Source organism: Homo sapiens, chromosome 2 (assembly GCF_000001405.40).
Source record: "Homo sapiens chromosome 2, GRCh38.p14 Primary Assembly".
Classification (NCBI taxonomy): domain Eukaryota; kingdom Metazoa; phylum Chordata; class Mammalia; order Primates; family Hominidae; genus Homo; species Homo sapiens.
Window position 1 is genome coordinate 189,659,474 of NC_000002.12, and position 27,974 is coordinate 189,687,447.

Consider the following 27,974-nt stretch of genomic DNA (forward strand, 5'->3'; position numbering starts at 1 on the left):
CCAGCCAGGGCAACAGAGAAAGACTGTGTCTCAAAATAACAACAACAACAAAGTGAAGTGATACTTCACTTTGGAGCTCTCTTTTTCCTAAACTTGGATTCTTAAAATGTTTCTAAGCTAGCAGTTTTGTAAGAACTTTTTTCCTTAAAAATCTGGCACATTTAAAGTATTGGAAATTCTGGGCTTTTAAAAATATTGGGATTATACCAGTGCTTATTTTTCTCTATAAACTAGTCAGAACAGAGGCCCTTTAATTAGAGATACTATAGTGGGATTTATTAATACACTCCAGAAGTAGGGAAATATTTCATATTTACAAAGGGAGACATAAAGCCTGTTCTAAGTTACAGACACACAGACACATAAAGAGGTTATTGCTTCTGTCTTACAACTTCAATCTCAGGTCAAAAGTAAACACAAAACCACAAAAATTCACCAGTTCTTCTGCTTGAGCGGCCTTTATGTTAAAACAAACAAACAAAACCTTACTAGCCCACATCTCAAATAGCTGTCCTCCTTCCCTCTCAGTGGACACAAAAGTAATTAATTAATTTGAGCTCACAAACAATAAACAAAAAGACTTACAAACTCGCTTCTCTGTCACCTCTCTTATTTATTTATTTGAACCCCTGGCCTCAAGTAATCCTCCCACCTCAGCCCCGAGTGGTTGCGATTACAGGTTTGAGCCACTGCACCTATCTACCTCTCTACCAATGAGACTAGACGTCCATCATCCAACAGATACCACCAAATGGTTAGACCACAAAACCAAACTCCCAATCATTGCTGCTATCAATGTATCAGTAATGTATAAGTTATACCTGAATAACTTATCAGGAATGTACAAATCAGAAATGAAAACACAATCTTTAAAAATCAATTATAAAGGAAAAATATATAACCACTTGGGTTTTCTGTAAGAGCAAATAAAAAACATGCCTGGCCTTAAACAACCCATGATGTATACATTTCTTTCGCCAGATAGTTTGATTCATCACATAAATCCAGTTGGGCATCTCTGTGGAAACTTAAGATTTCCAATAATATAGTATAATTATCAAAAACCTAAAATCATGTCTCTAATGTGAACATAAAATATATACATGTCAAACTTTTATTCAACTCATTGGTTAGTGAGGGAACCGATGACTTTAAAACCAATACAGAATATTAGAGAAGCTAGGCATATGTTAATAAAGAAATGTTAGGACAGAATGCAGGGTTAGATACAAAACTGACTAATGTGTTGCAGAACAATAAATCATAACCTGTGTTGGTATCTGGTACAACAAAAAATTATTTGCATCTCTACCAAACCAAAATCTCTACCAAAGTTAACCTTTGCCCCTACAGAATTGTAAAACAGCCCAGTCAATATAATAAAGTCAAGTCCAGAGCAGCACTGAAAGAGCATCCAGTAAATAAATCTCTTTTGCCTATTTCCAAGTTTTAGTCATTTTTTCCACAGAAATGAGATATTGCAAATATTGCACGGGACATAGATGCACTAAAAAACTATTAATTCATCTGAAGTTCATACTGTATTTTATCCGGCAACCCTAACCACGAGTTAACCAAAACTTTACCAAGTCTGTACAGTTCTTTTGCCAACACGGTATCTCTTAAATCTGTTCCTTAGCTTCATCTTTCCCTAGATAATAAATATCATATTAAGCGCTGTTTCTATTGCACGACTATTCTTCATATTTACCACTGGAGGGCGCACAGAACTCGTAGTATACTAGATAAGAGGTCATGAAGAAACCACCTGAGCGTTTCTGCATCTCAACCACAAGAGGCCAGTACAGGAACCTCAGATTTTGCAACCAGACTGTTTACTCGCTCCCTAAGCAGCCATGCGCAGGCGCGAAACTCCTCCCCAGGCCAGACCCGGCCTGCGCATGCGTTCAAGTGAGCGCGCAGACGCTATTGGTAAGACTCGCGGGAAAAGAAAGGGTGAGCGCGGCTGGAAGCGCGCATGCGCTGTGGCTAATGCCGTAGGCTCCTTCAGGGCTGAGCCATCCCGCGTGTCTTGCGCTCGGTGGAAATGCCCAGCCGAGGGACGCGACCAGAGGACAGCTCTGTGCTGATCCCCACCGACAATTCGACCCCACACAAGGAGGATCTAAGCAGCAAGGTGAGTGTGAGACGCGACGAAAAGGCTCCTGGACTCGGGACCGGGCGCCACTGGACCCTGAAGGTGGTCCGCAGCGGGCAGCGTGGGGCCTGCCTGGGCCTCGGCTTTGCCCTGCTACTTTGCTCTTTTTATTCATAGCACTTGACAGCCACAGTTAGTCCTTTTATTTTCTGAAAACAGTTGCGAAAAGGGAGATCTTGAAATTTGTCCCGAGACTGGACCCAGGTGACAGTGGGGCGGAGTTTTGGTTGGGTGTTTTCCTCCCTAGTCTTTTTAAACTTTTGGAAATACCGCCCACCCCAAATCTGTTCCATCAAAGATATTCTCCATCCAGTTAACCATGCCAGCAACCCGGGGTCCATCCTTGACCCCCATCATGGAAGCCTATCAGTTCTACCTTTGAAGCTCATTTCAAATATGTCCCTTTATCACCGTGAACACTCTTACCACCCCAAATAAGCCACCGTCATCTGCTATCGGGACCCCTGCCCCCGGCAAGGCCTTCCTAAGCGGTCTCTCCTCATCCACCTGTTAGCTGCTGCTTCTCCGTTAACCAGAGCAATGGTCCTAAAACACGCATTGGGTTGTCACTCATACCAAACTGGGGGAGAGAGGAAGCCAATATAATATAAGCCTTAACTGCCATAAACAAACAACCTTTAAAGATAAATGGGGGTGGCGAGGGTTATAGCCCTTCAGGTATTACATGTCCTAGATTCTACTTTGGTTCTGTCCCAAACTTACAATGACATCTTGGGCAAGTCTCTTTAATCTTTCTGTATCAGTTACCTTCTTTGAAGTAAAGTGAAATGTACACCTGTCATTCCTAAAATGGGAAAGCCCTGTATAAATGTTAAGTCTCAAAGAATGTTTACAAATTTGGCCTTGGAATTCAACCTCATTACTACAGCTCTGCCAACGGGGGAGACAGAAAGGTGCACATTCATGGGGATTGGGGGTGAATTTTCAAAAGACACACAGCCCATTCTGATTACCACCATAGCAAGCCACTTACGCATACTGGTGGTTACAGATCCCTGAGGTGTGTGTGAGGTAGCACAAATATGATAAAAGCTGCTTTTAGAGGCTCTTGTGATACTATGTAATCAGTCATGTTCACAAAATAAATAGAGTTAAAAAGAAACTTAGTTTTCACTTAGTTGAGCCCTCCCCTACAAATAAATGAAGCCCAGGCCAGCATGGTGGCCCAGGCCTGTAGTCCCAGCTACTCGGAGGCTAAGGTGTGAGAATCGCCTGAGCCCGGGAAGATCAAAGCTGCAGTGAGCCGTGATCGCACCACTGCACTCCAGCCTGGGTAACAGAGCAAGACCCTGTTTCAAAAAAAAAAAAAAAAAAAAAGCCCAGTTCAACAGTGCCAGCTCTATGCTAGTCATTGAGATAAAAAGAGGGAAAAATACCAAGATGGAACATGATAGGTCTTACTGTCCCCAAATAGGGCATTGCTTGATTTGAATGTTTGACTGCAGCACTTAGTACATAAAATCATGAAAATATTGAAAAAAGTAACCCACCCCTCATTCAATTTGCTTTTTTTTAAATCTAAATCACAACTTAATTTTCAATCTAAATCACAACTTAATTCCTTTTGGTGTATATCATATATATATATTTTTTAAATTATTTATTTATTTATTTTTTTGAGACGGAGTTTCACTCTTGTTGCCCAGGCTAGAGTGCAGTGGTGCAATCTTGGCTCACTGCAGCCTCCGCCTCCCGGGTTCAAGCAGTTCTCCTGCCTCAGCCTCCCGAATAGCTGGGATTACAGGCATGTGCCACTACGCTTGGCTAATTTTGTATTTTTAGTAGAGATGGGGTGTCTGCATGTTGGTCAGGCTGGTCTCGAACTCCCGACTTCAGGTGATCCGCCCGCCTTGGCCTCCCGAAGTGCTGGGATTACAGGCATGAGCCACCGCACCCGGCCTGGTGTATATCATATATTTTTAACAAAAGGTATAAACCTTGTTTAGTAACTGTAGTCCTTGGCATGATTGCTGGTTATGAACACGAAAATCCCTGTCTGGTCTTAATGGGTTACCTAACATTTTGCAAGTCTAATCACTGTTTTTTCTCCTCCAGCTTTTCCTGAACTGTACCCCCACACAGAGACTCCTGTTGAAAATGATCTGTATATTCACAAACTGCCCGTTTGGAAAACCAGTACATCATAGCCCCTTATCCCATCTCTAATTTTAAAACAACCCCTTAAGGGATTTTCATTGAGCATACTTTGAAAACATCTGACTTAAGGAGTTTTTCTTTATTTCAATAGATTAAAGAACAAAAAATTGTGGTGGATGAACTTTCTAACCTTAAGAAGAATAGGGTGAGTTATTATAGGAATTCTGAATAATATGTGGGAGGTTTATTTATGTTAACTATATATTAAAGTTATAAGAAGTATATATAAGATTTAATCATACTTTAATAAAATGTATAGTATTTCAGCATCTTTTAAAATTGCAAGTGTCTAGATTCTTTTTTTAAATGGATAGATCTCATAGCTGAAGATGTCTTTTTTCTATCATATGCCATTCACATTGCCTTTGCAACAAATGATACTAGTTGTATTTTGGTATCTTGGAGCTATAATCACTAATGATGTTTTATACCTGAATTTGATGTTTTCTTTTGATATAAACGAACTTTATATTGAGATGAGAAGAAACTTTTCTTTTAAATGAATGTGGATAATTATTGAACAAAAAAGGATACATTGCTTCCCCTCCCTCCAAAAAATTTTTACATAGATTTTCCTAAATGTGTAACATGGTTATTTAATGCCATTTCCATTAATATGTTACAAACAAGTAAGCTACTGCTTTGTGTATGGTTATAGTGTCAAATTGCATTTTAACATTCAGGAAGAAATGAGTTTGAGCTCTTAAAAGCTTTGTAAAGATTATGTAATAACTGGCTGGTTAGATATTTCTGATATTGTCACTTATGGAATATTAGAAGTTGAGGCACATACAAAAATTAGCCAGGCGTGTGCCTGTAATCCCAGCTACTCAGGAGGCCGAGGCACAAGAATCGCTTGAACCTGGGAGGCAGAGGTTGCAGTGAGCTGAGCACACCACTGCACTCCAGCCTAGGCTACAGAGCAGGACTCCTTCTCAAAAAAAAAAAAAAGAAGTTGAGGCAGAATTAATACAGACTTTCTCTAGAGGGCAAATTGGCAAAAAGTCTCAACAATTCAAAACTATAACACTTTGACCCAGCAGTTCCATTTATAGTAGTTGATACTTAGGAGAGAATCATGGTAGTGCACAAAGATTTAGTTACAAAGATAATCATCACAACCTTGATTTACAATAGCAAAGAGATGGTAACACCTTAAATGTCTAGTATTTGAAGCTGAGCAAATAAACTGTAATATATTATATCTATATAGCAGTAGGTATAATTTGGTCACCATAGCTTGCTTTGGCATTTTGGTGTTCTTGTAAAAGAACACTTACTGATAAGAAAAAGTATTCTCAATATATTGCTCATTGATAAAAGCATAAATCTGCAGGTACAGTAAGAACCTTTTTTGTTAAAATGGAGAGAAAATAGTTTCATTTCAGTAGTAGCAATTTCTGGTAGTTGGGCAGTGGGTGACTTTTATTTGTCTTTTTGCTTGTCTGTATTTGCTAAAGTATTGTACTGAATAGATTTTCAAGAATTAGTGATAATAGGGTTTAAGGATTTTAATATCTACTTTTTAGATCAAAATTTGATATTAGCCTAAATTATGTTTTCCAGAAAGTATATAGGCAACAACAGAACAGCAATATATTCTTTCTTGCAGACCGAACAGAAATGCTGTCTGAGAGCAAGAGTAAGTTTTTTCTTTTTTGGGGTTTTTGGGGGGTGCCTAAATTATACTCATCTGAGTGTTAAAATATATATCTAAAGATTAATGCAGCAGTTTGATTTTCTTCAAATTAGGCTTCCGAAGATGAGTCAACAGTTATATATATATGTGTATATATATATATATATATATATATATATATATATATATATATATATATTATAAATGTTTTAGAAAGCAATAGTTATTAACATGTGCTTTAGAATTTTAAACAGGTCTAAGTATGACAAACCATTACCACTTTCTACCTTTGTGACTTTGGGTGAAATACTTTAAGCCTCCAAGGTATTGTGGGATCTAAATAAGATGCTATGTTAAAAGTGCTTAGCCAAGTGCTTGGGCCAAAATCAGCACTCGGCAAAACAGAAGCTATTTTTCTAAAAGATAAACATTCTTTATTAGTAGCCTGTTGTTAATTATCATTGGTACTGGCACAGTGTGTGTGTTTATATGGTTTGATTTTGGTAAACAGCTTGTGTTGCCCTCTGAATTGCTAGGTAAAAGTCCAAGAATTTTTATGTTATTTAATATTTATTCTCCTTCCCTGCAACAGATATATTGGATGAACTGAAAAAAGAATACCAAGAAATAGAAAACTTAGACAAGACCAAAATCAAGAAATAGTCAACCTGATTTCACATAACAATGTGTGGCATTTGTTGTTCTGTAAACTTTTCTGCTGAGCATTTCAGTCAAGATTTAAAAGAGGACTTACTATATAATCTTAAACAGCGGGGACCCAATAGTAGTAAACAATTGTTAAAGTCTGATGTTAACTACCAGTGTTTATTTTCTGCTCACGTCCTACACTTGAGGGGTGTTTTGACTACCCAGCCTGTGGAAGATGAAAGAGGCAATGTGTTTCTATGGAATGGAGAAATTTTTAGTGGAATAAAGGTTGAAGCTGAAGAGAATGACACTCAAATTTTGTTTAATTATCTTTCCTCCTGTAAGAATGAATCTGAGATTTTGTCACTCTTCTCAGAAGTACAAGGTCCCTGGTCATTTATATATTATCAAGCATCTAGTCATTATTTATGGTTTGGTAGGGATTTTTTTGGTCGCCGTAGCTTGCTTTGGCATTTTAGTAATTTGGGCAAGAGTTTCTGCCTCTCTTCAGTTGGCACCCAAACATCTGGATTGGCAAATCAGTGGCAAGAAGTTCCAGCATCTGGACTTTTCAGAATTGATCTTAAGTCTACTGTCATTTCCGGATGCATTATTTTACAACTGTATCCTTGGAAATATATTTCTAGGGAGAATATTATTGAAGAAAATGTTAATAGCCTGAGTCAAATTTCAGCAGACTTACCAGCATTTGTATCAGTGGTAGCAAATGAAGCCAAACTGTATCTTGAAAAACCTGTTGTTCCTTTAAATATGATGTTGCCACAAGCTGCATTGGAGACTCATTGCAGTAATATTTCCAATGTGCCACCTACAAGAGAGATACTTCAAGTCTTTCTTACTGATGTACACATGAAGGAAGTAATTCAGCAGTTCATTGATGTCCTGAGTGTAGCAGTCAAGAAACGTGTCTTGTGTTTACCTAGGGATGAAAACCTGACAGCAAATGAAGTTTTGAAAACGTGTGATAGGAAAGCAAATGTTGCAATCCTGTTTTCTGGGGGCATTGATTCCATGGTTATTGCAACCCTTGCTGACCGTCATATTCCTTTAGATGAACCAATTGATCTTCTTAATGTAGCTTTCATAGCTGAAGAAAAGACCATGCCAACTACCTTTAACAGAGAAGGGAATAAACAGAAAAATAAATGTGAAATACCTTCAGAAGAATTCTCTAAAGATGTTGCTGCTGCTGCTGCTGACAGTCCTAATAAACATGTCAGTGTACCAGATCGAATCACAGGAAGGGCGGGACTAAAGGAACTACAAGCTGTTAGCCCTTCCCGAATTTGGAATTTTGTTGAAATTAATGTTTCTATGGAAGAACTGCAGAAATTAAGAAGAACTCGAATATGTCACTTAATTCGGCCATTGGATACAGTTTTGGATGATAGCATTGGCTGTGCAGTCTGGTTTGCTTCTAGAGGAATTGGTTGGTTAGTGGCCCAGGAAGGAGTGAAATCCTATCAGAGCAATGCAAAGGTATGACACAGTGTTTCTTCTCCTGAGAATTCCTGAGACCTATTTTTGACCCTTAAAGCTTTTAGCATTTTGATTGTAAGAATATAGCATATTTTAGGTGCATTTATCTTATTTTCTTTACTGTGTAGTTGATAACATTTTTATACGGATTTCTTTAAACCTCATAGGTAGTTCTCACTGGAATTGGTGCAGATGAGCAACTTGCAGGTTATTCTCGTCATCGTGTCCGCTTTCAGTCGCATGGGCTGGAAGGATTGAATAAGGAAATAATGATGGAACTGGGTCGAATTTCTTCTAGAAATCTTGGTCGTGATGACAGAGTTATTGGTGATCATGGAAAAGAAGCAAGGTAATTCTAATCATTTGAGTGTTCTTACGGTATTTTTATAAAAACAGCAGAGTGTAAATGGAGACTTTAAAGTTTGTTTTCTCTTTGGAGACTGTTCACATGAATAAGAGCAGCAATAATAGCTTGGCTTTGTATTATAAACAAAGTCAGAAACAGAGCTGGGAAGAGCCAGGAGAGCATTTATTTTCTAGAACTCATTCTCTAAGAAATGTCTTTTCAGTAATTTTCAAAGGTAACATAATGACAGGATTGTTTTTAAGACTATAGTGAAAAATACTGTCAAAGTAGGCCAGGCATGGTGGCTCACACCTGTCTTCCTAGCACTTTGGGAGGCCAAGGCGGGTGGATCACCTGAGGACAGGAGTTCAAGACCAGCCTGGTAAACATGATGAAACCCCACTTCTACTAAAAATACAAAAAAATTAGCTGATCATGGTGCTGCATGCCTGTAGTTCCAGCTACTCGGGAGGCTGAGAATGGCTGAACCCAGGAGGTGGAGGTTGCAGTGAGCCCAGATCGCGCCACCGCACTCCAGCCTGGGAGACAGTGCGAGACTCTGTTTCCACAAAAAAACAGAGTAAAACTGAGATAGTGAAATACTAAGAGAAGGTATTTAGAGGGTTTTGTTCAGCTTTTAATGTTTGCTTTCCTCCCAGTAAGGGCATAAGCCCCACCTGCAAGCCTTCTCCAGTGTTATAGAAACTGGCTTTGTCTCTATAGACATTTCTGTATGTACAGATCCATGCTGATTTGAAGGTAGTCCTTACACTGGATATTCCTCTGCCACGTTTTTTGAACACAATTTAGTTACATATTGCAGATTACCTAAAACCTTCAAAGAAACCAAGGCACTTTCATGTATGTATTCTTGCTTTTCAGGTTTATTTTTACCTATATCATATTTCTGAAGGTAGTGAACAAGTACAGTATTTGAATAAAACTTTCTAAAACATTAAGTAAGGATAAAGGAAGATGTGACATTTAGTTATAAAGAGCAAAAATTCATTCAAGTAGGCTAATTGATTAAGTGGTAGTTTATTACAAGGGTGCAAGCATCCAAGAATAGGAAGTCCAAGTAAGCTTCATGAGAATTAAACATACTACACTTTCTCTCCCTCTCTCTCTCTCTCTCTTTGACTTCATTGTTTCTTGTCTCTACTTCAGTCTTTTCCTCTTTCCACTGACTTGTAGTTGCCTTTACACAGTTGTCTTTCTTAAGTTTCTGGTCCTAGCCCATGTAAAAGTTTAGCTACTATGTCATTATTCTGTCATAATTTTCAAGATTTCACTATAAACTGATAACTAATGCCATAATAAAGTCCGTAAACTGTTAAACTGTTTTCTCTTTGAAGGACATGAGAGAGGTAGAAATTCAGTCTGTTATTTCAGCTAGGTCATAGAGAAAGGAATTTGTCTAGTAAAAGCCCTTACTTATGAAAGTATTATATTATGCTCAAATAAAAATGCATATGAAGAATGTTTAAAGCAGCTAATACAGAATTGTGATATAACAAATATAGTGGCTAGATCTAAATAATTTATTACGTATCTTGACATACATATTAACAGTAGTGTGTTGATTTGATTCTCTAGTTAAATTTGCTTTTGCAACTCATTCATTTTTATGTAATATTCCAGATAACAAATGTCTTTGTCCTTTCCAATCTCTTAACCTAGAATAGGATGTAATAAAACGGAAACACTAGTGTAACTGTATTGCATTTTGAGATGTGGGATGGTGGGTGTTAAAGTATTTTAAACAGAAAAAGAACATAATTTTCTAGAAATTGGGGAAGGAAAAGGGCAGAAAGTTTTTTTTTAATCGAATATTTTGTTTCTAGGTCATCCCAGAATTTAGGGGAAAAAAATCTAATATTTTGTTCTGTTACAGTAATTTATCACCATTTAATTGGTTTAAGTATAATTAAACAATTTTGAGTAACAAAATTTTACCATAAGTGTTTTGCAGGTTCAGGACTGTGGAGCCCTTCTATATTGGTTCCATATCCCTAAAGTGTCATTTCTTTAGACCTGATAAAGATCAGACACAGATTGAATAGTTAGTTAAGATCATGCTCGTAGGCTAGGTGCGGTGGCTCACTCCTGTATTCCCAGCACTTTGGGAGGCCAAAGCAGGTGGGTCACTTGAGTTCAGGAGTCCGAGACCAGCCTGGGCAATGTGGCGAAATCTCATCTCTACCAACAAATACAAAGATTAGCTGGGTGCGGTAGTGCTCACCTAGGCAAAAAAAAAAAAAAAAAATCATGTTTGTTTTCAAGGCCTCCACAAAGATACCTTGTAAAACAATTTGAAATTATTTCTGGACACAATAAACCTAATTTATTTATTGAGATTTAGACTATTTTGTAGTATATGTATTAAAATTAGTCATGTTGTGAAACAATTTGGTTAAATTTTAGCTATAAAACTGTGTATAAATCAAAGCAGGTTGATTTTATTTTTACATAGTGGTTATATTATCTGTCTATTTTAGATTTCCTTTCCTGGATGAAAATGTTGTCTCCTTTCTAAATTCTCTGCCGATTTGGGAAAAAGCAAACTTGACTTTACCCCGAGGAATTGGTGAAAAATTACTTTTACGCCTTGCAGCTGTGGAACTTGGTCTTACAGCCTCTGCTCTTCTGCCCAAACGGGCCATGCAGTTTGGATCAAGAATTGCAAAAATGGAAAAAATTAATGAAAAGGCATCTGATAAATGTGGACGGCTCCAAATCATGTCCTTAGAAAATCTTTCTATTGAAAAGGAGACTAAATTGTAATGTGATTCACAATGTAACAATATAAAAATAAGTTTTTATATAATTATATAAAAGTAAGATACTCTGCTGCTTTACTATTGTATAACATAGTAGTTTTAAAGTTCATTTGGTTGAATTTTCATTTTTTCCTGTCACAGAGCTTCTAAAACCATGGAATTTCCTTAGTGATAGGGAATATCTTTTGTTGTTCATAATAAGCCCCTTTTGATCACACCTGAGTTTATGCTAATGCGTTGACTTAGGGTGAGGTCTCTAAATAGCCTTTAACACCTGCAGCTTGGGAGGCCAAGGCAGAGGGATCTCTTGAGTCCAGGAGTTTGAGAACAGCCTGGGCAACATGATGAAACCTCATCTCTACCAAAAAAAAAAAAAAAGTACAGAAAATTAGCTGGGCATGGAAGCATGTGCCTCCCTACTCAAGAGTCTGAGGTGGGAGGATCACTTGAGCCCAGGAAGTTGAAGCTGCAGTGAGGCTAGGATCATACCACTGCACTCCAGCCTGGGCGACAGTGAGACCCTGTCTCTAAAAATAAAAATAAAAACAAAAATAAAAATCAAGTGATTAGAAGAGTTGGAATTTCATCCCCACCCACCAACCTCTGGGAGGGAGAGTGGTGCTGAAAATTAAGGTCTATTAAACTTTATAAAAACTCTTGAACAAGATTTGATGAGCCTCTGGTTTGCTGAACATGTGGAGGTGCTGGGAGTGTGGTATGCCCAGAGAGGACAAGGAAGCTCCCTCTCATCTTAATTTTTTTTAATACTTTGCCTTATGCATCTCTTCAATTTGGCTGTGCCTGAGATGTATCCTATATAATAAGCCAGTAAACATAAGTATTTCTATGAGTGCTGTGAGCCATTCTAGCAAATTATCGAACCTGAATAGGGGGTCATGAAAACCCCCAGTTTATGTAGCTGGTCAATCAGAAGTACCAGAGATCCAGACTTGAAATTGCCATCTAAAGCAGAGACACCTTATGGCACTGAGCCCTTAAATGGAAGGATCTGACACTCACTCCAGGTAGATAGAGGCAGGATTAAACTGTAGGATACCCAGCTGGTATTCAGAGAGCTGGAGAATTGCTTGGTAATTCTCCACACATCTGGTGGAAAAAATCCACACATCTGGTGTCAGAAGTGTTGTGTGAGAGTGAAGAGAAACAGTTTGTTTTCCCAGACTCACTCTCTTTGATCACTCCATCCAGAAATGATTCAGTTCCCTCTCTTCAGGGACCATGGTTTAGACAGGGTCCTGTTTCATGGATAAAAGAACTACAGGTTTAAAGAAGCTAAACAATTTGCTTGAGGTTCATCCTCCTGAACAGTACTTGTTACTTCTATTACATCTTTTTAGGCAGCTCATTTTCCCACCCCAGTAACTTTTAAAGACTACAGTTGACCCCTGAACAACACATTTGAACTGTGCAGTTCCACTTATATGTGGATTTTCTGCCTCTGCCACCCCGAGACAGCCCCTTCTCCTCCTCAGCCTACTCAACCTGAAGACAAGAATAATTACGTCTTCCTCTACTTACTATGTCTTGCCTCTCATCCACAGTCACTCTCTCCACCTTTTTGTCTATTTACTCCAACCTGACATCCACCCACATTACTCAACTGTTAACTGCCATACCAGTGTCACTGTGAAATCTGTCCATTAGGATCGACACCATTTCTGGATCTGGCCACCCTTTGATTCTTTAATCACAGTAGCAAATAAATTTTAGGATCCGGACAAACAGGTCAGTAACCTGGCAAAGGCTTTCACATGCCCCGAATTTATTCCCTGGAAGATGCAATGTTCAACCAAAATTTAGATACTGCCTACATAGCTTTCATCCCTCAATCTGAAAGCAGACAACTTCAAGTGTCTGTGTGGGCCTGAGCACTAAATTGACATTGCTTATATTGGGAGTAGATGAACTTAAGAGGTTTGCCCCACGGCCTAGAATTGAATATTATAACACCAATACAGTTTAATACTGAAAATAGCTATAACTTACATAATGCTATATTCCAGGTGCTACTCTACTCTATGAGATTTAAATGTATTAATCAGTCAAACTTTTATAAGGAATTTCCAGGTCATCTGCTCCACCAGAATACTGAGAGAGACAGAGAGAGGATACACATGCATGTGTGTGAACCCCAAGAGGGCCTGGGCATTTACAACCTTCTGCTATTCAATCCCATTAGCTCTGGGATGGAGTTCTGTGTTGATCCTTTAAAAAATGAGGCATCTCTTTCCGAAGATTTGAGACACATGGAACAAACCATTTGGCTACCCAGGGGGAAACAATCCTTGAAGTAGGAGAATGTACATATATGGTTCATATTTCTTAAGTGCAAACATGCAAATCTTTGTAAAAAAAAAAGCCCTGGAATAGTCCTCATAAATTTATTAATATTTATTTCCATAGTAGCTAAAATAATGACATGGTTACTGGAAGAGAAATTCTGCCCCAAACAGTCACCAAGAACTTCCAAGCTGCTGCATTCAGTGGAAGTTTGTTCTCATCTCCCCTGACCGAGCAGCAGCATCCGATAAAGTTGGCCATTCCTTTTTTTTTTTCCACACACTTCTTTGGCTTCTGTGACCAATTTTGGTTTTCCTCCTGCCTTCTTGGCTGTTCTTTTTGTCTTCTTTGCTGACTTCACTCTCTCTACCTGACGTTTAAATGTTAAATTTCTCAGGTCTCTAATCCTTGGTTCTCAACTCCTCATTCTGCACGCTCTCCCTTGGTGATTTCAACCCCACTCCTGGCTTCAATTACTATAAATCTGCCAAAATTTATACATCTAACCCCTACTGCCATTCTTAGCCCAGAACTGTTTATCTAAAGCATATCTCACATCTCAATTTCTCTCACAGGTACTTCAAGGTCAATTAGTACATAACTGAACTCTTAATCTTGCCCTGATATCCTGTTGCTCCTGACAGAAATGTGGTTCTGACTTGGACACAACCTTCTTTTTCAACATATCCCCAATCTGTCACCAACAGGCAACCTCATTATTTTTCAAATCTGTCCACAGTCCCTGAGCCCCACCTCCACTGCCACTACTGTAGGCTAATCCTTTGGGATGAAATTCAAAATCATTACTCAGCAGCCTGCATGATCTGTCCATCGCGCACCTCAGCAGCTCGGTTTGTGCCCACATCTCTCTTGTTCTCTAAGCAGGGTTTTGCGGTTTCTCAACCATTTCAACTTTGTTCTCACTTCAATTCTTTCTCTCCTGCTGTTCCCTGTTCCTGAAAAGCTACTTGTCCAGTCCTTTGCTTGGGTAGCTCTTTTCCATCTTCTAGGCTCGGAGGGGAAAAGGGCACTTCCTTAGGCAGCCTTTCCTAGCCCTGGGCTAGGTTAGCTTTCATTCGAGTGCTGTCATTCCATCTAATATTGGCACACTGTTAAATATAGCTGTGAGATGATCTGTTCAACTGTAAGCTCCTTGGGGTTTCGTGTCTGCCCTGTTTTCTAGGGTTTCCAGCTTGTAGCTGGGTGCCTGACTCATAATAGGTGTTCCATAAATGCTTGTTGAATGAAAGAATGATGATGGAGGTGGTATTCCAACTCGGGACTGCCTCAACGCCCGGCGCTGTCTCCTCTGCTACTCTGTTTCGGTGTTTTAGCAGAGGCAGATAGTGAGGGCGGCACAGTGCCCACGGCATGCCGCTGGACTAAGCGCTAAGCGGGCTTGGGATGATGCGCACGCGGGGGGTCTGAGCCAGCCAAGGGGCCGGGCGCCGCCTGGGGGCGCTGCGGCTGCTGCGGGACGCACCAGGCCTAGTCGCCCGCAGGCTCCGCCCGAGGAGCAGCCCAGCCACCCCAGGGCCCGGAGGACCAACCGCTTCGACCCGCGCCCGGGCGGCGGCAGTGTTGGCCGGCGAGGCGAGGAGGGCCGGGCCGCCACGGTGGGGCGAAAAGCCCTGAAAGTTCCTCTCAGTTCCTTCCGGTGCGCCTCCCGCTCGCCCTTGCGGAGGCCCTGAGGGCGGATTCAAGGCCCCGCGAGAAGCCATCTGAGGCGGCGACGACTGTTCTCAGCCCCACGGGAACGCCGCGGACGCAGCGTCCCTCTCCCGGACAAGAAAACAGCCATTCTAGAGTAGGTTCCTCCCCTTTCCTTGTTTTTTCCCCTTTCCCGTGCCCATGGCTGACGCGAGCTGCTTTTGGACGTGGGTCCCGGGCTTGACTGGACAGACGTGGGTTCTGTTTCTGAAAGGCGTAAAACCTCAGACTTGTCCTGCAACCTCCTGGTCTCCGTTTTTGCCTCTATAAAGTGGGCATAACAAGGTCTGACTCACTGACCTGGGGTCTCAGGTGTGGCGCCCAAACCAGCACTATCAGCATTTCCTGTAACTTTACTAAAACGCATATTTTCTGGCCCCACTACAGCTCATTGAATCAGAAACTCAGTGGTGGGATTCAGCGATTTGTATTTGAACAAGCCCCAGGTGATTTTGATACAAGCTAAATTTTGAGAACCACTATATAATAGAGACCAATCAGATGAAATAAATCAAACCATTATATAGTAAAGAACCTGGCTCAATAAATAGTAGTTGTGGTTATTATTATTTCAGGAATAGACAGGCATTCATTGGCACAGAAATTGAAGGTTAAGCAAATGCTTCTTTCCTTTTCTTTTTCTTTTTTTTTTCTTTTTTTGAAACAGTGTTTTTCACACTTGTTGCCCAGGCCACCGCAACCTCCGCCTCCTGGGTTCAGCCTCCTGTCTCAAGCCCCGCGAGTAGCTGAGATTACAGGCATGTACGACCACGTTTGGCTAATTTTGTATTTTTAGTAGAGACGGAGTTTCTCCATGTTTGTCAGGCTGTTCTCGAACTCCTGACATCAGTTGATCTGCCCGACTTGGCCTCCCAAAGTGCTGGGATTACACGCATGAGCCACTGCGCCCCACCCTTTTCTTTTCTTTCATGCAGGTCAGTATAGTCTTGCTTTAAAAAACTGAAAACAAAATAAATATCCATATGATTTGGATATTTATCCCCTCCAAATCTCATGTTAAAATAGATTCCCCAATGTTGGAGGTAGGGCTTGGTGCGAGGTGTTTGGATTATGGGGGTGGATCCCTCATGAATGGCTTGGTGCTTTCCTGGCAGAGTGAACTCTACCTCTGAGCTCATGAAAGATCTGGTTGTTTAAGAGTAGACACCTCCCCTTTCTCTCTATTGTTCCGTCTCTTACCATGTGACACACTGGCTCCCCTTCCCCTTCCGCCATGATTGTAAGCTTGGTCTCACAAGAAGCTGAGCAGATGCTGGTGCCATGCTTGTACAGCCTGCAGAATTGTGAGCCAAATAAACCTCTTTTCTTTATAAATTATGCAGTCTCAGGTATTCCTTTATAGCAACACAAACAGACTAACACGAACATATACAAAAGAATGCCTCTCCAACAACAAAATAGGTATGTAACAGTAGCTTCTCACAGATAAACTTAACGTTTCTTTTTGACATACATCTTCTTGTCTTTTGAATTCTTTGAAAAGCAGAACATGGTTAATGATAAAGGTTTTATAATTTTAATTATTTTAATTCAAATTTCAGTTTTCATATACTGCAGTTATTTTTAATTTGAAAACTATAATGGTTGACCATGAAAAATTAATCTTATGTAGGTGAAAGGTACAGATTTATTTCTAGACAAATCCAGTTTCATTGGCATGTCAGATTTTATTGATAATCTTTTCCTTCTTATTCATTGCAGAAGCTTCAAAAAGGACACACTAGATTTAATTAGAAATGTTAAGATTGCCCAAAAAAGGATTACCTAGATTTGAGCAAGTTCAGGATGAAGACACCTACCTGGAAAATTTAGCAATACAAAGAAATGCATCTGCTTTTTTTGAAAAATATGATCGGAGTGAAATACAAGAGTTACTAACTACTGCACTAGTTAGCTGGTTGTCTGCCAAAGAGGATGTGCGCTCTCAAGTAGACCTCCCATGTGGAATTATGAGTCAAATGAATAACGTAGGCTTCTCCACTGCAATCCTACTGACTCCCGTGGACCCTACTGCCCTCTTAGACTATAGAGAGGTCCATCAAATGATAAGAGAGTTGGCTATTGGAATTTATTGCCTAAATCAAATCCCTTCCATCAGTTTAGAAGCTAATTATGATCAGAGTTCTTCTTGTCAATTACCTCCAGCTTATTATGATACCAGAATTGGGCAAATTCTGATCAATATTGACTACATGCTGAAAGCACTATGGCATGGAATATATATGCCCAAAGAAAAACGAGCTAGATTCTCTGAATTGTGGCGTGCCATCATGGACATTGATCCTGATGGAAAACCTCAAACAAATAAAGACATTTTTTCAGAGTTTAGTTCAGCAGGTAAGAGAATTTAACACTTCTTAAATTTTTTTTTTTTTTTTTTGGAACAGAGTCTTACTACGTCACCCAGGGTGGTCACGAACCCCTGAGCTCAAGCCATTCACCCACCTAGGCCTCCCAAAGTGCTAGGATTACAGGCATGAGCCGCTGCACCTGGCCACTTCTTAATTATTTTTATTCAATGCCATTTTTAAAATTTTTAAATTTTATTTCGATAGTTTTTGGGGGAACAGGTGGTTTTTGGTTACATGGCTAAGTTCTTTAGTGGTGATTTCTGAGATTTTGGTGCACCCATCACCTGAGCAGTGTACACTGTACCCCATGTGTAGTCTTTTATCCCTCATTTTCTTCCTACCTTTCCTCTAGAATCCCCAAAGTCCATTATATCATTCTTATGCCTTTGCGTCCTCATAGCTTAGCTCCCACTTATAAGGGAGAACATAAAATATTTGGCTTGCCATTCCTGAGTTACTTCACTTAGAATAATGGTCTCCAACCCCATCCATGTTTCTGTGAATGCCATTATTTAATTCATTTTTATGGCTGAGTAGTATTTCATGGTATATATATTTTCTTTCTTTCTTTTTTTTTTTTTCTTTTTTGGAGATGGGGTCTCCCTGTGTTGAACAGGCTGGCCTCGAACCCCTGGCCTCATATGATCATCCCATCTTGACTTCCTAGAGTGCTAGGATTACAGACATGTGCCACTGCACCTGGCCACCACGTATTCTTTATCTACTCATTGGTTGATGGGCCTTTAGACTGGTTCCATGTTTTTGCAATTGTGAATTGTGCTGCTATAAACATGCATGTGCAAGTGTCTTTTTCATATAGTGACTTCTTTTCCTCTGGGTAGATACCTGGTAGTGGGATTGCTGGATCAAATGGTAGTTCTACATTTAGTTCTTTAAAGAATCTCTATACTGTTTTCCATAGTGGTTGTGCTAGTTTACATTACAATCCCACCAGCAGTGTAAGTATTCCCTTTTCACCACATCCATGCCGACATGTATTATTTTTTTATTTTTAAATTATGGCCATTCTTGCGGGAGTAAGATGGTATCTCAGTGTGGTTTGATTTGCATTTCTCTGATAATTAGTGATGTTGAGCATTTTTCATATGTTTGTTGGCCTTTTGTATATCTTCATTTGAAAATTGTCTATTCATGGCTTTTGCCCACTTTTTGATGGGATTGTTTGTTTTTTTCTTGCTAATTTGTTTGAGTTCCTGGTAGATTCCGGATATTAGTCCTTTGTTGGAAGCATAATTTGCAAATATTTTCTCCTACTCTGTGGGTTGTCTGTTTACTGATTGTTTCTTTTGCTGTTTAGAAGCTTTTTAGTTTAATTAGGTCACATCTATTTATGTTTGTTTTTGTTGCATTTGCTTTTGGGTTCTTGGTCATGAACTGTTTGCCTAAGCCAATGTCTAGAAGGGTTTGTCCGAGTTATCTTCTACAATTTTTATGGTTTCTGGTCTTAGATTTAGTTCTCGATCCATCTCGAGTTGATTTTTATATAAGGTGAGAGATGAGGATCCAGTTTCATGTGGCTTGCCAATTATCCCAGCACCATTTGTTGAATAAGGGTGCCCTTTCCCCACTTTACATTTGTGTTTGCTTTGTCAAAGATCAGTTGCCCATAAGTACTTGGTTTTATTTCCGCGTTCTCTATTCTGTTCCATTGGTCTCTGTGCCTATTTTTATACCAGTACCATGCTGTTTTGTTAACTATAGCCTTGTAGTATAGTTTGAAGTCAGATAATGTGATGCCTCCAGATTTGTTCTTTTTGCTTAGTCTTGCTTTAGCTATGTGGGCTCATTTTGGTTCTATATGACATTTAAGATTATTTTTTCTAGTTCTGTGAGGAATGATGATAGTATTTCTATGAGAATTGCATTGAATCTGTAGATTGCTTTTGGCAGTATGGTCATTTTCACAATATTGATTCTACCCATCCATGAGCATGGGATGTGTTTTCATTTGTTTGTGTCATCAATGATTTCTTTCAGCAGTGTTTTGTAGTTTTCCTTGTAAAAATTATTCACCTCCTTGATTAGGTATATTCCTAAGTATTTTATTTTATGTTATGTTATTTTATTTAACTTTATTTAATTTTGTTTTTTGCAGCTGTTGTAAAAGGGATTGAGTTCTTGATTTGAGTCTCATCTTGTTTGTTGTTGGTGTATAGCAGTGCTACTGATTTGTGTTCATTGATTTTGTATGCTGAAACTTTACTAAATTCCTTTATGGCATCTAAGAGGTTTTTAGATGAATCCTTAGGGTTTTCTAGGCATATGATCTTATCATTGGCAAAAAGCCACAGTTTGACTTCCTCTTTACCAAATTGGATGTCTGTTATTTATTTCTCTTGTCTGATTCCTCTGGCTAGGACTTCCAGTACTATGTTGAATAGAAGTGGTGAGAGTGGGTATCCTTGTCTTGTTCCAGTTCTTAGGGGAAGTGCTTTCAGTGTTTTCCTGTTCAGTATAATGTTGGCTGTGGGTTTGTTATAGAGGACTTTTATTACCTTAAGGTATGTCCCTTCTATGGCCATTTCGTTGAGGGTTTTAATCATAAAGCAATGCTGGATTTTGTCAAATGCTTTTTCTGCATCTATTGAGATGATTTTTGTTTTTGATTCTGTCTGTATGATGTATCACATATATTGACTTGCATATGTTAAACCATCCCTTCATCCCTGGCACGAAACCCACTTGATCATGGCGTATTATCTTTCTGATATGCTGTCAGATTCCGTTAGTATTTTCTTGAGGATTTTTGCATCCATGTTCATCATGGATATTGGTCTGTAGTTTTCTTTTTTTGTTATGTCCTTTCCTGGTTTGGATATTAGGGTGATACTGGCTTCATAGAATAATGTAGGGAGAATTCCCTCTTTATCTTTTGGAATAGTTTCAGTAAGACTGATACCAGTTCTTCTTTGAATGTCTGATAGAATGCAGCTGTGAATCCATCTGGTCCTGGACTTTTTTGTTGTTGGCAATTTTTTATTGTTTCAAGCTCTCTACTTGTTATTGGTCTGTTCAGAGTTTCTGTTTCTTCCTATTTAATCTAGGAGGGTTGTATATTTCCAGGAATTTATCCATCTCCTCTAGATTTTCTAGTTTGTGCACATAAAGGTGTTTATAGTAACCTTGAATGATCTTTTGTATTTTGTGGTATCGGTTATAATGACTCCTGTTTCATTTCTAGTTGAGCTTATTTGGATCTTCTCTCTCTTTTCTTGGTTAATCTAGTTAATGGTGAATCAATTTTATCTTTTCAAAAAACCAGCTTTTTGTTTCATTTATCTTTCACATTGTTTTCTTCTTTCAATTTCATTTAGTTCTGCTCTAATCTTTGTTATTTCTTTTCTTCTGCTTGGTTTGGGTTTGGTTTGTTCCTGTTTCTCTAGTTCCTTGAGGTGTGACCTTAGATTGTCTATTTGTGTTCTTTCAGACTTTTTAATGTAGGCATTTACTGCTATGAACTTTCCTCTTAGCTCCACTTTTGCTGTAATCCCAGAGGTTTTGATATCACTATTATCGTTTGGTTCAAAGATTTTTAAATTTCCATCTTGATTTCATTGTTGACCCAAAGATCATTCTGGAGCAGATTATTTCATTTCCGTGTGTTTATATAGTTTTGCGGGTTCCTTTTGGAGTTAATTTCCAGTTTATTCCACTGTGGTCTGAGAGGATACTTGATATAATTTTGATTTTCTTAAATTAATTGAGACTTGTTTTGTGACCTATCATATGATCTATCTTGGAGAATGTTAAGCCATTTTTTAAATTTAAAGGTAATTTATCTGGATCAAGGTGATGCCAAGAGCTTTGTGAAGATCTGAGGTCCACGGAGGTTAAGGATCAGCAAGAGTGCTTGGTAGTTTCCAACAGCGGTAGAGCCTTGACATTCTGACGAAATTGTGTTTACTTTTGTTTCCCTTTTTACAAATTTACCTGAGGCTCTCATTTGAGAGGACGTGGGACTGATGAGCCATCATTCTGAATGGGCATATGCCAAACTGGTAAAGAAACAACAAGCTCTTTTTAGATCCAGATATCTAGATGGAAACTTTCAGTATAGAAGTCAAATTCTAGAAAGTGATAAAGGTTAGATACATATTGATTAATCATCCACATGTTAAAGCCACGAGAGCCTTTGGATCATCCAGTTAGAGCACCAGTAGAGACCTGATCATGGCAGGAAGGAGCACATGTCCTGTTGTGTAACTAAGGGAAGAGGGCTCTTGCTTACTTGATGACAAAGTTAGTTACATCAAGCCACTTCATGGCCCAGGATCTGGTCTATTTCACCCATCTGTGTGTCATATCTGAGGTTGCCACCCTCTATGAGGATTCCCTTGCAATGGTGCACCTGGTAAGGGGATCAGAGACACATAGGAACATTCTAATCAAGTTGTAGGTGGAAACAGAGAGCACCAAAGGACTAATGCTGTCTGCTTTCTACACCTACATTTTCAGGGTTGATACTCAAAACACTTAACCACCAGCACAGTATTGGCACTGAGCAATCAGAATGGACGTCAGCCATAATGCTGGAGCAGGGTCTCAGAGACCTCCTGCTTGTCATATTTACCCTTTTCTGGATCATGGAGCTTTTCAGGTGATCCCTGGGGAGGGAGGTATTCAATGAGCTTGGGGCTGCAGCAATTCAGTTTGCCAATTGAGGGTTCAGTATTTTAACAATGTGGTGTTATTGTTGCATATTAGCTAAATATCAGTGCTTTCCTGATATGAAACTTATGTCTTGAGTTTTGTGATTCTACTTTTAAAATATCTCTCAAAATCATCTACTTTGGCTTATCTCTACTGCAACACTGTAGTACAGAACACCCTTTTCCACTGCAACAGCATTCTGACTGCTCTCTGCCTCAAACCTTTTAAAAATTGTTCTTAAATGAGGCTGGGAACCTTAACAAATCCAGTCACTCTACTATCATGTGCCTGGGGATAGTGCTGGGTGTGTTTACAATAGAGTGCTTAATACTGTTGGCTCCTGGCCAATCAAAGATGAGCATCAAAACCATGCATGGTGGAATGTATCTTTATTCCCAGCTACTCAGGAGGCTGAGGCAGGAGAATTACTTGAGGCCAAGAGTTTGAGGCTGTAGTGTATTATGTTTGCACCTGTGAATAACCACCACTCTGCAGCCTGGGAAACATAGTGAGACCCCCATCTTTTAGGAAAAAAAAAAGAAAAAAAGATGAGCATTACACCTAGTAGAAATATTTTTTTCTCTCTCCACTGCACATTGGGTGTCTGCTTCAGAAACTTCAACAATGTGTGGTGCAAGCAGTGGTAAATGACCACCAGCATACATACTAGACCTACTGAAGTAGTTTATAGGGGGAATCTCACGGTGGCAGTAGCAGGAATAGGCACAGGTTTCCCCATCATGCACCACACCTGGAGCACCACTGTGAAATCCTACAGGGCCAATGGTCAGACTCTAAGAAAGGGACCTGAACCATTGGGCTACAGGGCTTTTATGCTACATGATTAAAGAAGCATCAGGTCAGAGGACAGGATACAATAGCAAGATGTTTTAGCCTAGGTTACACTCCAAATTGCATCAGAAACAAGGACGTGAGTCAAGTTAGTTTTTGAGAAATGATTCCAAGGAACAGGAGTGAGGGACAGGAAAAGTGAATAGAAAAGGAGGGAGCATCAACCCAAGAATGTGCTGTCGAGCTTTTTCACCACTTGGGCAATTGGGATTTATTTTGCTGGGACACTCTGAGGAGTCATATAGAATACACTGCAGAATTGCCAGCCTAAGGGATGTGCTATGGTCTGAATGTTTATGTCTCCCCAAAATTCAAATGTTGAAACCTAATCACCAATGGCATTAGGACATGGGACCATTGGAGGGTGATTAGTTCATAAAGGCAGACCCCTCATGAATGGGATTAATGCCCTTATAAAAGAGGCCCCAGAGAGCTGCCTTGTCCCTCCCACCCTGTACGGATACAGCAAGAAGGTACCGTCTATGAACCAGGGAATGGGTCCTCATCAGACACCACATCTAACTTGATCTTGGATATCCCAGCCTTTACAGCTGTGAGAAATAATTTTCTATTCTTTATAAGCTACCCAGTCTGTGCTTTTTTCTTACAGTAGCTCTAAATGATTAAGACAGGATAGATGAGGGAAAAGTGTATCCGCTGGCTGCTGTCTCTCATTAGCCGAAGTTTGAATGGAGGGTTAACTCGCTCATGCTTTCAGATTTGTTCCTACACCAGAATGGCTGGATGGGTTCCATCAGGAGTCTAACAGCAGTGGCAGAGAAGCCTCAGGGCAAAAATAATCCTGTGGTGCACTTGAGGCAAGGTACAGTCAGGTCAAGTCTGTGTGGAGCAAAAACTACAGTTTAAAAATGTGGTCTGAAAGGATGTGAGGTAGGGAACAAAAGGTGTCTGATACACAGTGTGACTCATGGAAACTTGGCTGCAGCCCTTTCTTCCAAGCTTAGTGTTAGAGATTGAGGGAGTGTACCACCTCTCCCCTGGCATGATCAGAGAGCTGGTGTCCAAGCTTTGTAATTGCAGGTACATGGTGTCAAGCTAGCAGCAGTGTAAGTTGTTATATCACCATTCACGTTTGGGAAAACAGCAGCTCCTCTGTTGGCATGACTGGGAAACTGTGTTCACACCTTGCAACTGACCATGTGATTACCTTAAACACTGTGCTACAGTGGATTTCCAAGGAATTGTGCAGAAAGCCAACTCTTTTTCAGAGGGCAGACTGCTGGGAATCCGTCTTGGCCAAGTTAACCTTTATCTCTCACATAGCTTTGCACTCTACAAACCACCAGCAACATCATTCTTTAAAAACAGTAGCAATAGTAGAGAATAGAGCACACCAAAAATCTGGCCATGTTACCCAGTTTTCTCAGCAGGCATTTTAGTTAGGGTGGATCCCTTCATCTAATTCATAAATTCTTAGACTCTTTCCAGAAGGCTAGGAGGATGGAAGGAAAGAAGAAAACATCTCATGATAGCAAAATAGGAGAAGGGAACTTTTAATAGAAATATTGAGAAAAAATGGGAACTTATTTATTATCACAAGCGAGTAATGTGAGTTGGGTTGTTTTTTTCTCTGTTCATTCCCTGTCCTCTATCTGGAATGCCTTCTTCCTGTTCACCCCACACCACTGTCCACTTTCTTCCTAGGGTTATTGCTACTCATTTTTTGAGACTTGATTCAGATACTGCCTACTCTATTTGGACTCTTTTATCTGTGCACAGAAAAATACTTTGTATTTTGAATTGAAATTATTGGCTTCATTTCTTTCTTCCTTATTAGACATTAAGCTCATTCTTGAGAGCACAGAAAATTGTGTCTTTTTTGGTTTGATTTTAAATTCTCAGCACCTTATACAGTGCATGACTTATAGTAAACTTTCAATACATATAGAAATTAAATGGGTAATAATAGAATATAAGGGAATTGGTTGGGCACAGTGGCTCACACTTGTAATTCTAACACTTGAGGAGGCCGAGGTAGGTGGTTCGCTTTAGCTCAGGAGTTCGAGACCAGGCTCTACAAAATATACAAAAATTAGCCAGGCATGGTGGTGCACGCCTGTAGTCCCAGATGCTCGGGAGGCTGAGGTGGGAAGATCACTTGAGCCCAGGAGGTTGAGGCTGCTGCCGTGAGCCAAGATCATACCACTACACTCCAGCCTGGGTGACAGAGACCCTGTCTCAAAAAAAAAAAAAAAAAAATAGAGGTTAAAGCTGTGGAAACTTTTGTTTCCCCTCATTCCCCTCATCCTCCAAATTTCATTTGATCCAATTTTTTATTAAATTCTTTTTTATTATTTACTTTCCTATGACTGTACATATTCCTTCCAGCTAATTTACATAATGTGCACTTTGTTTTCTGAATTTTTTTTTTAAAGGGACAAGCTCTTACTCTGTCACCCAGGCTTGAATGCAGTGGCATGATCTCAGCTCATTGCAGCCTCAGACTCCTGGGCTCAAGTGATCTTCCTGCCTCAGCCTCCTGAGTAACTGGGACTACAGGAACTTGCCACCATGCCCAGCTAATTTTTTTGTTTTTTATTTTTTGTAGAATGTTGTCCCGGCTGGGACATTTCCTTTCTTTAATAACTTTCTTTTTCTTTTTTTTTTGCTTCTGGTCCTTGATTCAGGGAACATTATTTTTCATGATATGAACAATCGTGGTTTTTTTTTCCAGTAGCTAACTTCTCCATGTACTTACTACTAATTCAGTTCCAGTCTTTCAAAGGGAAATATTGAATTCTTCTTGATAAAAAAATGGGATATGAAGTTCCATTTTTTCCTTAGAGATGTCTCTCTTGATAACTTCATCCTCTTCCTTTTGTCAGAACTCATTGCTTTAAGCCCACTTCACCTTCCTTTAGCACCCCTCCCTGCCCCTGGCCCAGTAATTCCAGTGCTTCTTTCATCTGAGAGGCTCTCCTCACCTGCCTGGCGATCCTTGCTGCTTGTTTTCATTTAGGAGTGAGGCAGGAACGCTGGCAGACTTCACTGTAGAGTGATGAGCAGGAACCCCTGACATTCCACTGGGAAGCCTGTCCCCCAGATGTTGTATCTGCAGGTGTGTTTCCTCCAGTATCCTGCTTGGAGGGAGGGCTGTGAGTCAGGGGCCAAAGGAGGGGAAGTGCTGAACTGTGGATATCTTGGTTCAGCACTCAGACTCTCATTTAACTAGTTTTCAGCACAACTGCTCCTCCCAACCCTCAGCTGTGCTTTGTACCCTTTTAGTGAGGAAGAGGAGAAGGGCTGTGCTATCTGGGGAAGATGATCTAGGGATCTCACTACACCTTTTCTTTTAAAAAAATTCTTGCACCATGGCCTGTCCTTCACAGCCTCCACATAATGCTTTCAGTCTCTAAGGCTTCTTGTGGTTTTTGTTGGCTCCCAGCCACCCCAAGCCATGAGGTTTTAGTGCTATCAACAATCCCTCTGGCTTTTTAGACTTCTTTAAACTGCCAGAATCCCTTTCATTTCTTTGTAATTTATCTAACTATTTTGCAGAAAAGAGATGAATTATAGTGGCCATTTTAAAAACCCAAGAGTATTCTGGCCTTTTTAAAAAAAAGATTTGAGAAAGAAAAAAGAAAAAGAAAGGAGGGGATACATTGACATATCATTTACACTTTAGAGCATATATATTACAAACAAATGCCACATTTTCTACAGTCATGTCTTACGACTACAAGCAGTTTTCTCAAGCCTAAATTAAGGGTAACATTGTAGATATAACTATCTTAAAAAGACTATTTGACAAGAAGAAAGTCCTCAATTTCTTTGTAAATGGCAAGAAAATGTAGCACGGGAAATTTGTCATTTTTTGATAGAGTAAAATCAAGTTTTAATTCTTATTTATTAAATGATGATTACTTAGCTGGCAGTTTCTTTGTTTATTATGCATGTCTAGCTTCTTATTGGCAAAAAAAAAGAAATTTATAGTACTAGCCTGAAAAAACAAACTATGCTTTTGGCCCAAGTGAGAAGCTGATACCCTGGTTAAAGAAAAATCACGTTTTCTTGTTGTTTCATATTTTCCTTGATCAAAGCTGGGACTTATATTGTATCTGTATTCACTTTCCTTAGTAACCTACTCATCTGTCTGCTTTTATCTTACACAATTTTATTGGCATTGTTAACTTAAGAATCATGAGATTTATAAATTTGGAAACGAGACTCTTTCTTTTTTTGAATTATTTTAAATTTTGTGGGTACATAGCAGGTATATATATTTATGAGATATTTTCACACGGCATACAATGCCTAATAATCACATCAGGGTAAATGGAGTATCCTTCACCTCACAAATTTATCCTTTCTTTGTGTTACAGACAATCCAATTATACTCTTTTAGTGTTTTTAAATGTACAATAAATTATTGACTGTAGTCACCTTGTTGTGTTGTCAAATACTAGATCTTATTCATTCTATCTAACTATATTTTTGTATCCATTAATTATCCCCACTTCCCTCCTGCCCCACCATTCCCTGCCACCTTTCCCAGCTTCTGGTAACCATCTCTATTTCCATGAGGTCAATTGTTTTAATTTTTAGTTCCCACAAATAAGTGAGAATATGCAAAGTTTGTCTTTCTGTGCATGGCTTATTTCATTTAACATAATGTCCTCCAGTTTCATCAAAGTTGTTGCAAATGACGGAATCTCATGGCTGAATAGTACTCCATTGTGTATATGTACCACTTTTTCTTTATCCATTCATCTGTTGATGGACACTTAGGTTGCTTCCAAATCTTGATTATTACGAACAGTGCTGCCACAAACGTGGGAGTGCAGATACCCTTTGATAT

The 27,974-nt window shown here is 39.5% G+C and overlaps 3 protein-coding genes and 1 long non-coding RNA gene across 27 annotated transcripts in view, besides 3 other annotated features; 3 read left to right on the forward strand and 1 right to left on the reverse strand.

Annotated features, from left to right (window-relative positions):
* Positions 1,986 to 6,928, forward strand: ASDURF (ASNSD1 upstream open reading frame). 2 transcript variants are annotated; one of them, NM_001353493.2, is made up of 4 exons: positions 1,986 to 2,137; positions 4,428 to 4,481; positions 5,903 to 5,978; positions 6,568 to 6,928. In NM_001353493.2, exons 1-4 carry the CDS (start codon positions 2,048 to 2,050, stop codon positions 6,636 to 6,638), a joined length of 291 nt encoding a protein of 96 aa, NP_001340422.1. In that variant the 5' UTR covers positions 1,986 to 2,047; the 3' UTR covers positions 6,639 to 6,928. The 2 variants fall into 2 exon arrangements, with proteins under 2 accessions (NP_001340422.1, NP_001340423.1); NM_001353494.2 differs by having other exon boundaries at positions 5,949 to 5,978.
* Positions 1,986 to 11,358, forward strand: ASNSD1 (asparagine synthetase domain containing 1). Of its 2 annotated transcripts, NM_019048.4 has the most exons (6): positions 1,986 to 2,137; positions 4,428 to 4,481; positions 5,903 to 5,978; positions 6,568 to 8,123; positions 8,291 to 8,472; positions 10,968 to 11,358. In NM_019048.4, the coding sequence occupies exons 4-6, from the start codon at positions 6,660 to 6,662 to the stop codon at positions 11,251 to 11,253; spliced, it is 1,932 nt and encodes a 643-aa protein (NP_061921.2). In that variant the 5' UTR covers positions 1,986 to 2,137; positions 4,428 to 4,481; positions 5,903 to 5,978; positions 6,568 to 6,659; the 3' UTR covers positions 11,254 to 11,358. The 2 variants fall into 2 exon arrangements, with proteins under 2 accessions (NP_061921.2, NP_001340426.1); NM_001353497.2 differs by lacking the exon at positions 4,428 to 4,481.
* Positions 2,044 to 2,233: an enhancer, noted in NCBI's record as "active region_16851". NCBI's record gives its function as "activates an Ori minimal core promoter by ATAC-STARR-seq in GM12878 lymphoblastoid cells {active_cell/tissue: GM12878}" and the evidence as "EXISTENCE:reporter gene assay evidence [ECO:0000049][PMID:35858748]".
* A 2,288-nt stretch (positions 11,359 to 13,646) lies between the features above and the next one.
* On the reverse strand, positions 13,647 to 14,812 carry LOC105373793 (uncharacterized). The gene is made up of 2 exons (XR_923692.3): positions 14,358 to 14,812; positions 13,647 to 13,920 (listed from the first exon to the last, which is right to left on the reverse strand). It is a non-coding gene; the product is annotated as an uncharacterized LOC105373793 (long non-coding RNA).
* Positions 14,853 to 15,272: a silencer, noted in NCBI's record as "silent region_12172". NCBI's record gives its function as "represses an Ori minimal core promoter by ATAC-STARR-seq in GM12878 lymphoblastoid cells {active_cell/tissue: GM12878}" and the evidence as "EXISTENCE:reporter gene assay evidence [ECO:0000049][PMID:35858748]".
* Positions 15,197 to 27,974, forward strand: part of ANKAR (ankyrin and armadillo repeat containing) — an 88,390-nt gene continuing 75,612 nt past the window's right edge. For 20 of the 22 annotated variants that reach the window (XR_922865.3, XR_001738640.2, XM_011510676.3 and 17 more), the window contains exons 1-2: positions 15,197 to 15,357; positions 16,983 to 17,618. Coding sequence is in view for 20 of the 22 variants with exons in the window: in XM_011510676.3 (XP_011508978.1) it covers positions 17,018 to 17,618 (601 nt within the window). In the remaining 2 variants the exon portion in view is untranslated. Of the gene's footprint in view, positions 15,358 to 16,511; positions 16,565 to 16,982; positions 17,619 to 27,974 lie in introns of those variants that run through there. The other 2 variants (XM_011510685.3, NM_144708.3) reach the window with 2 other exon arrangements.
* Positions 15,323 to 15,582: an enhancer, noted in NCBI's record as "active region_16852". NCBI's record gives its function as "activates an Ori minimal core promoter by ATAC-STARR-seq in GM12878 lymphoblastoid cells {active_cell/tissue: GM12878}" and the evidence as "EXISTENCE:reporter gene assay evidence [ECO:0000049][PMID:35858748]".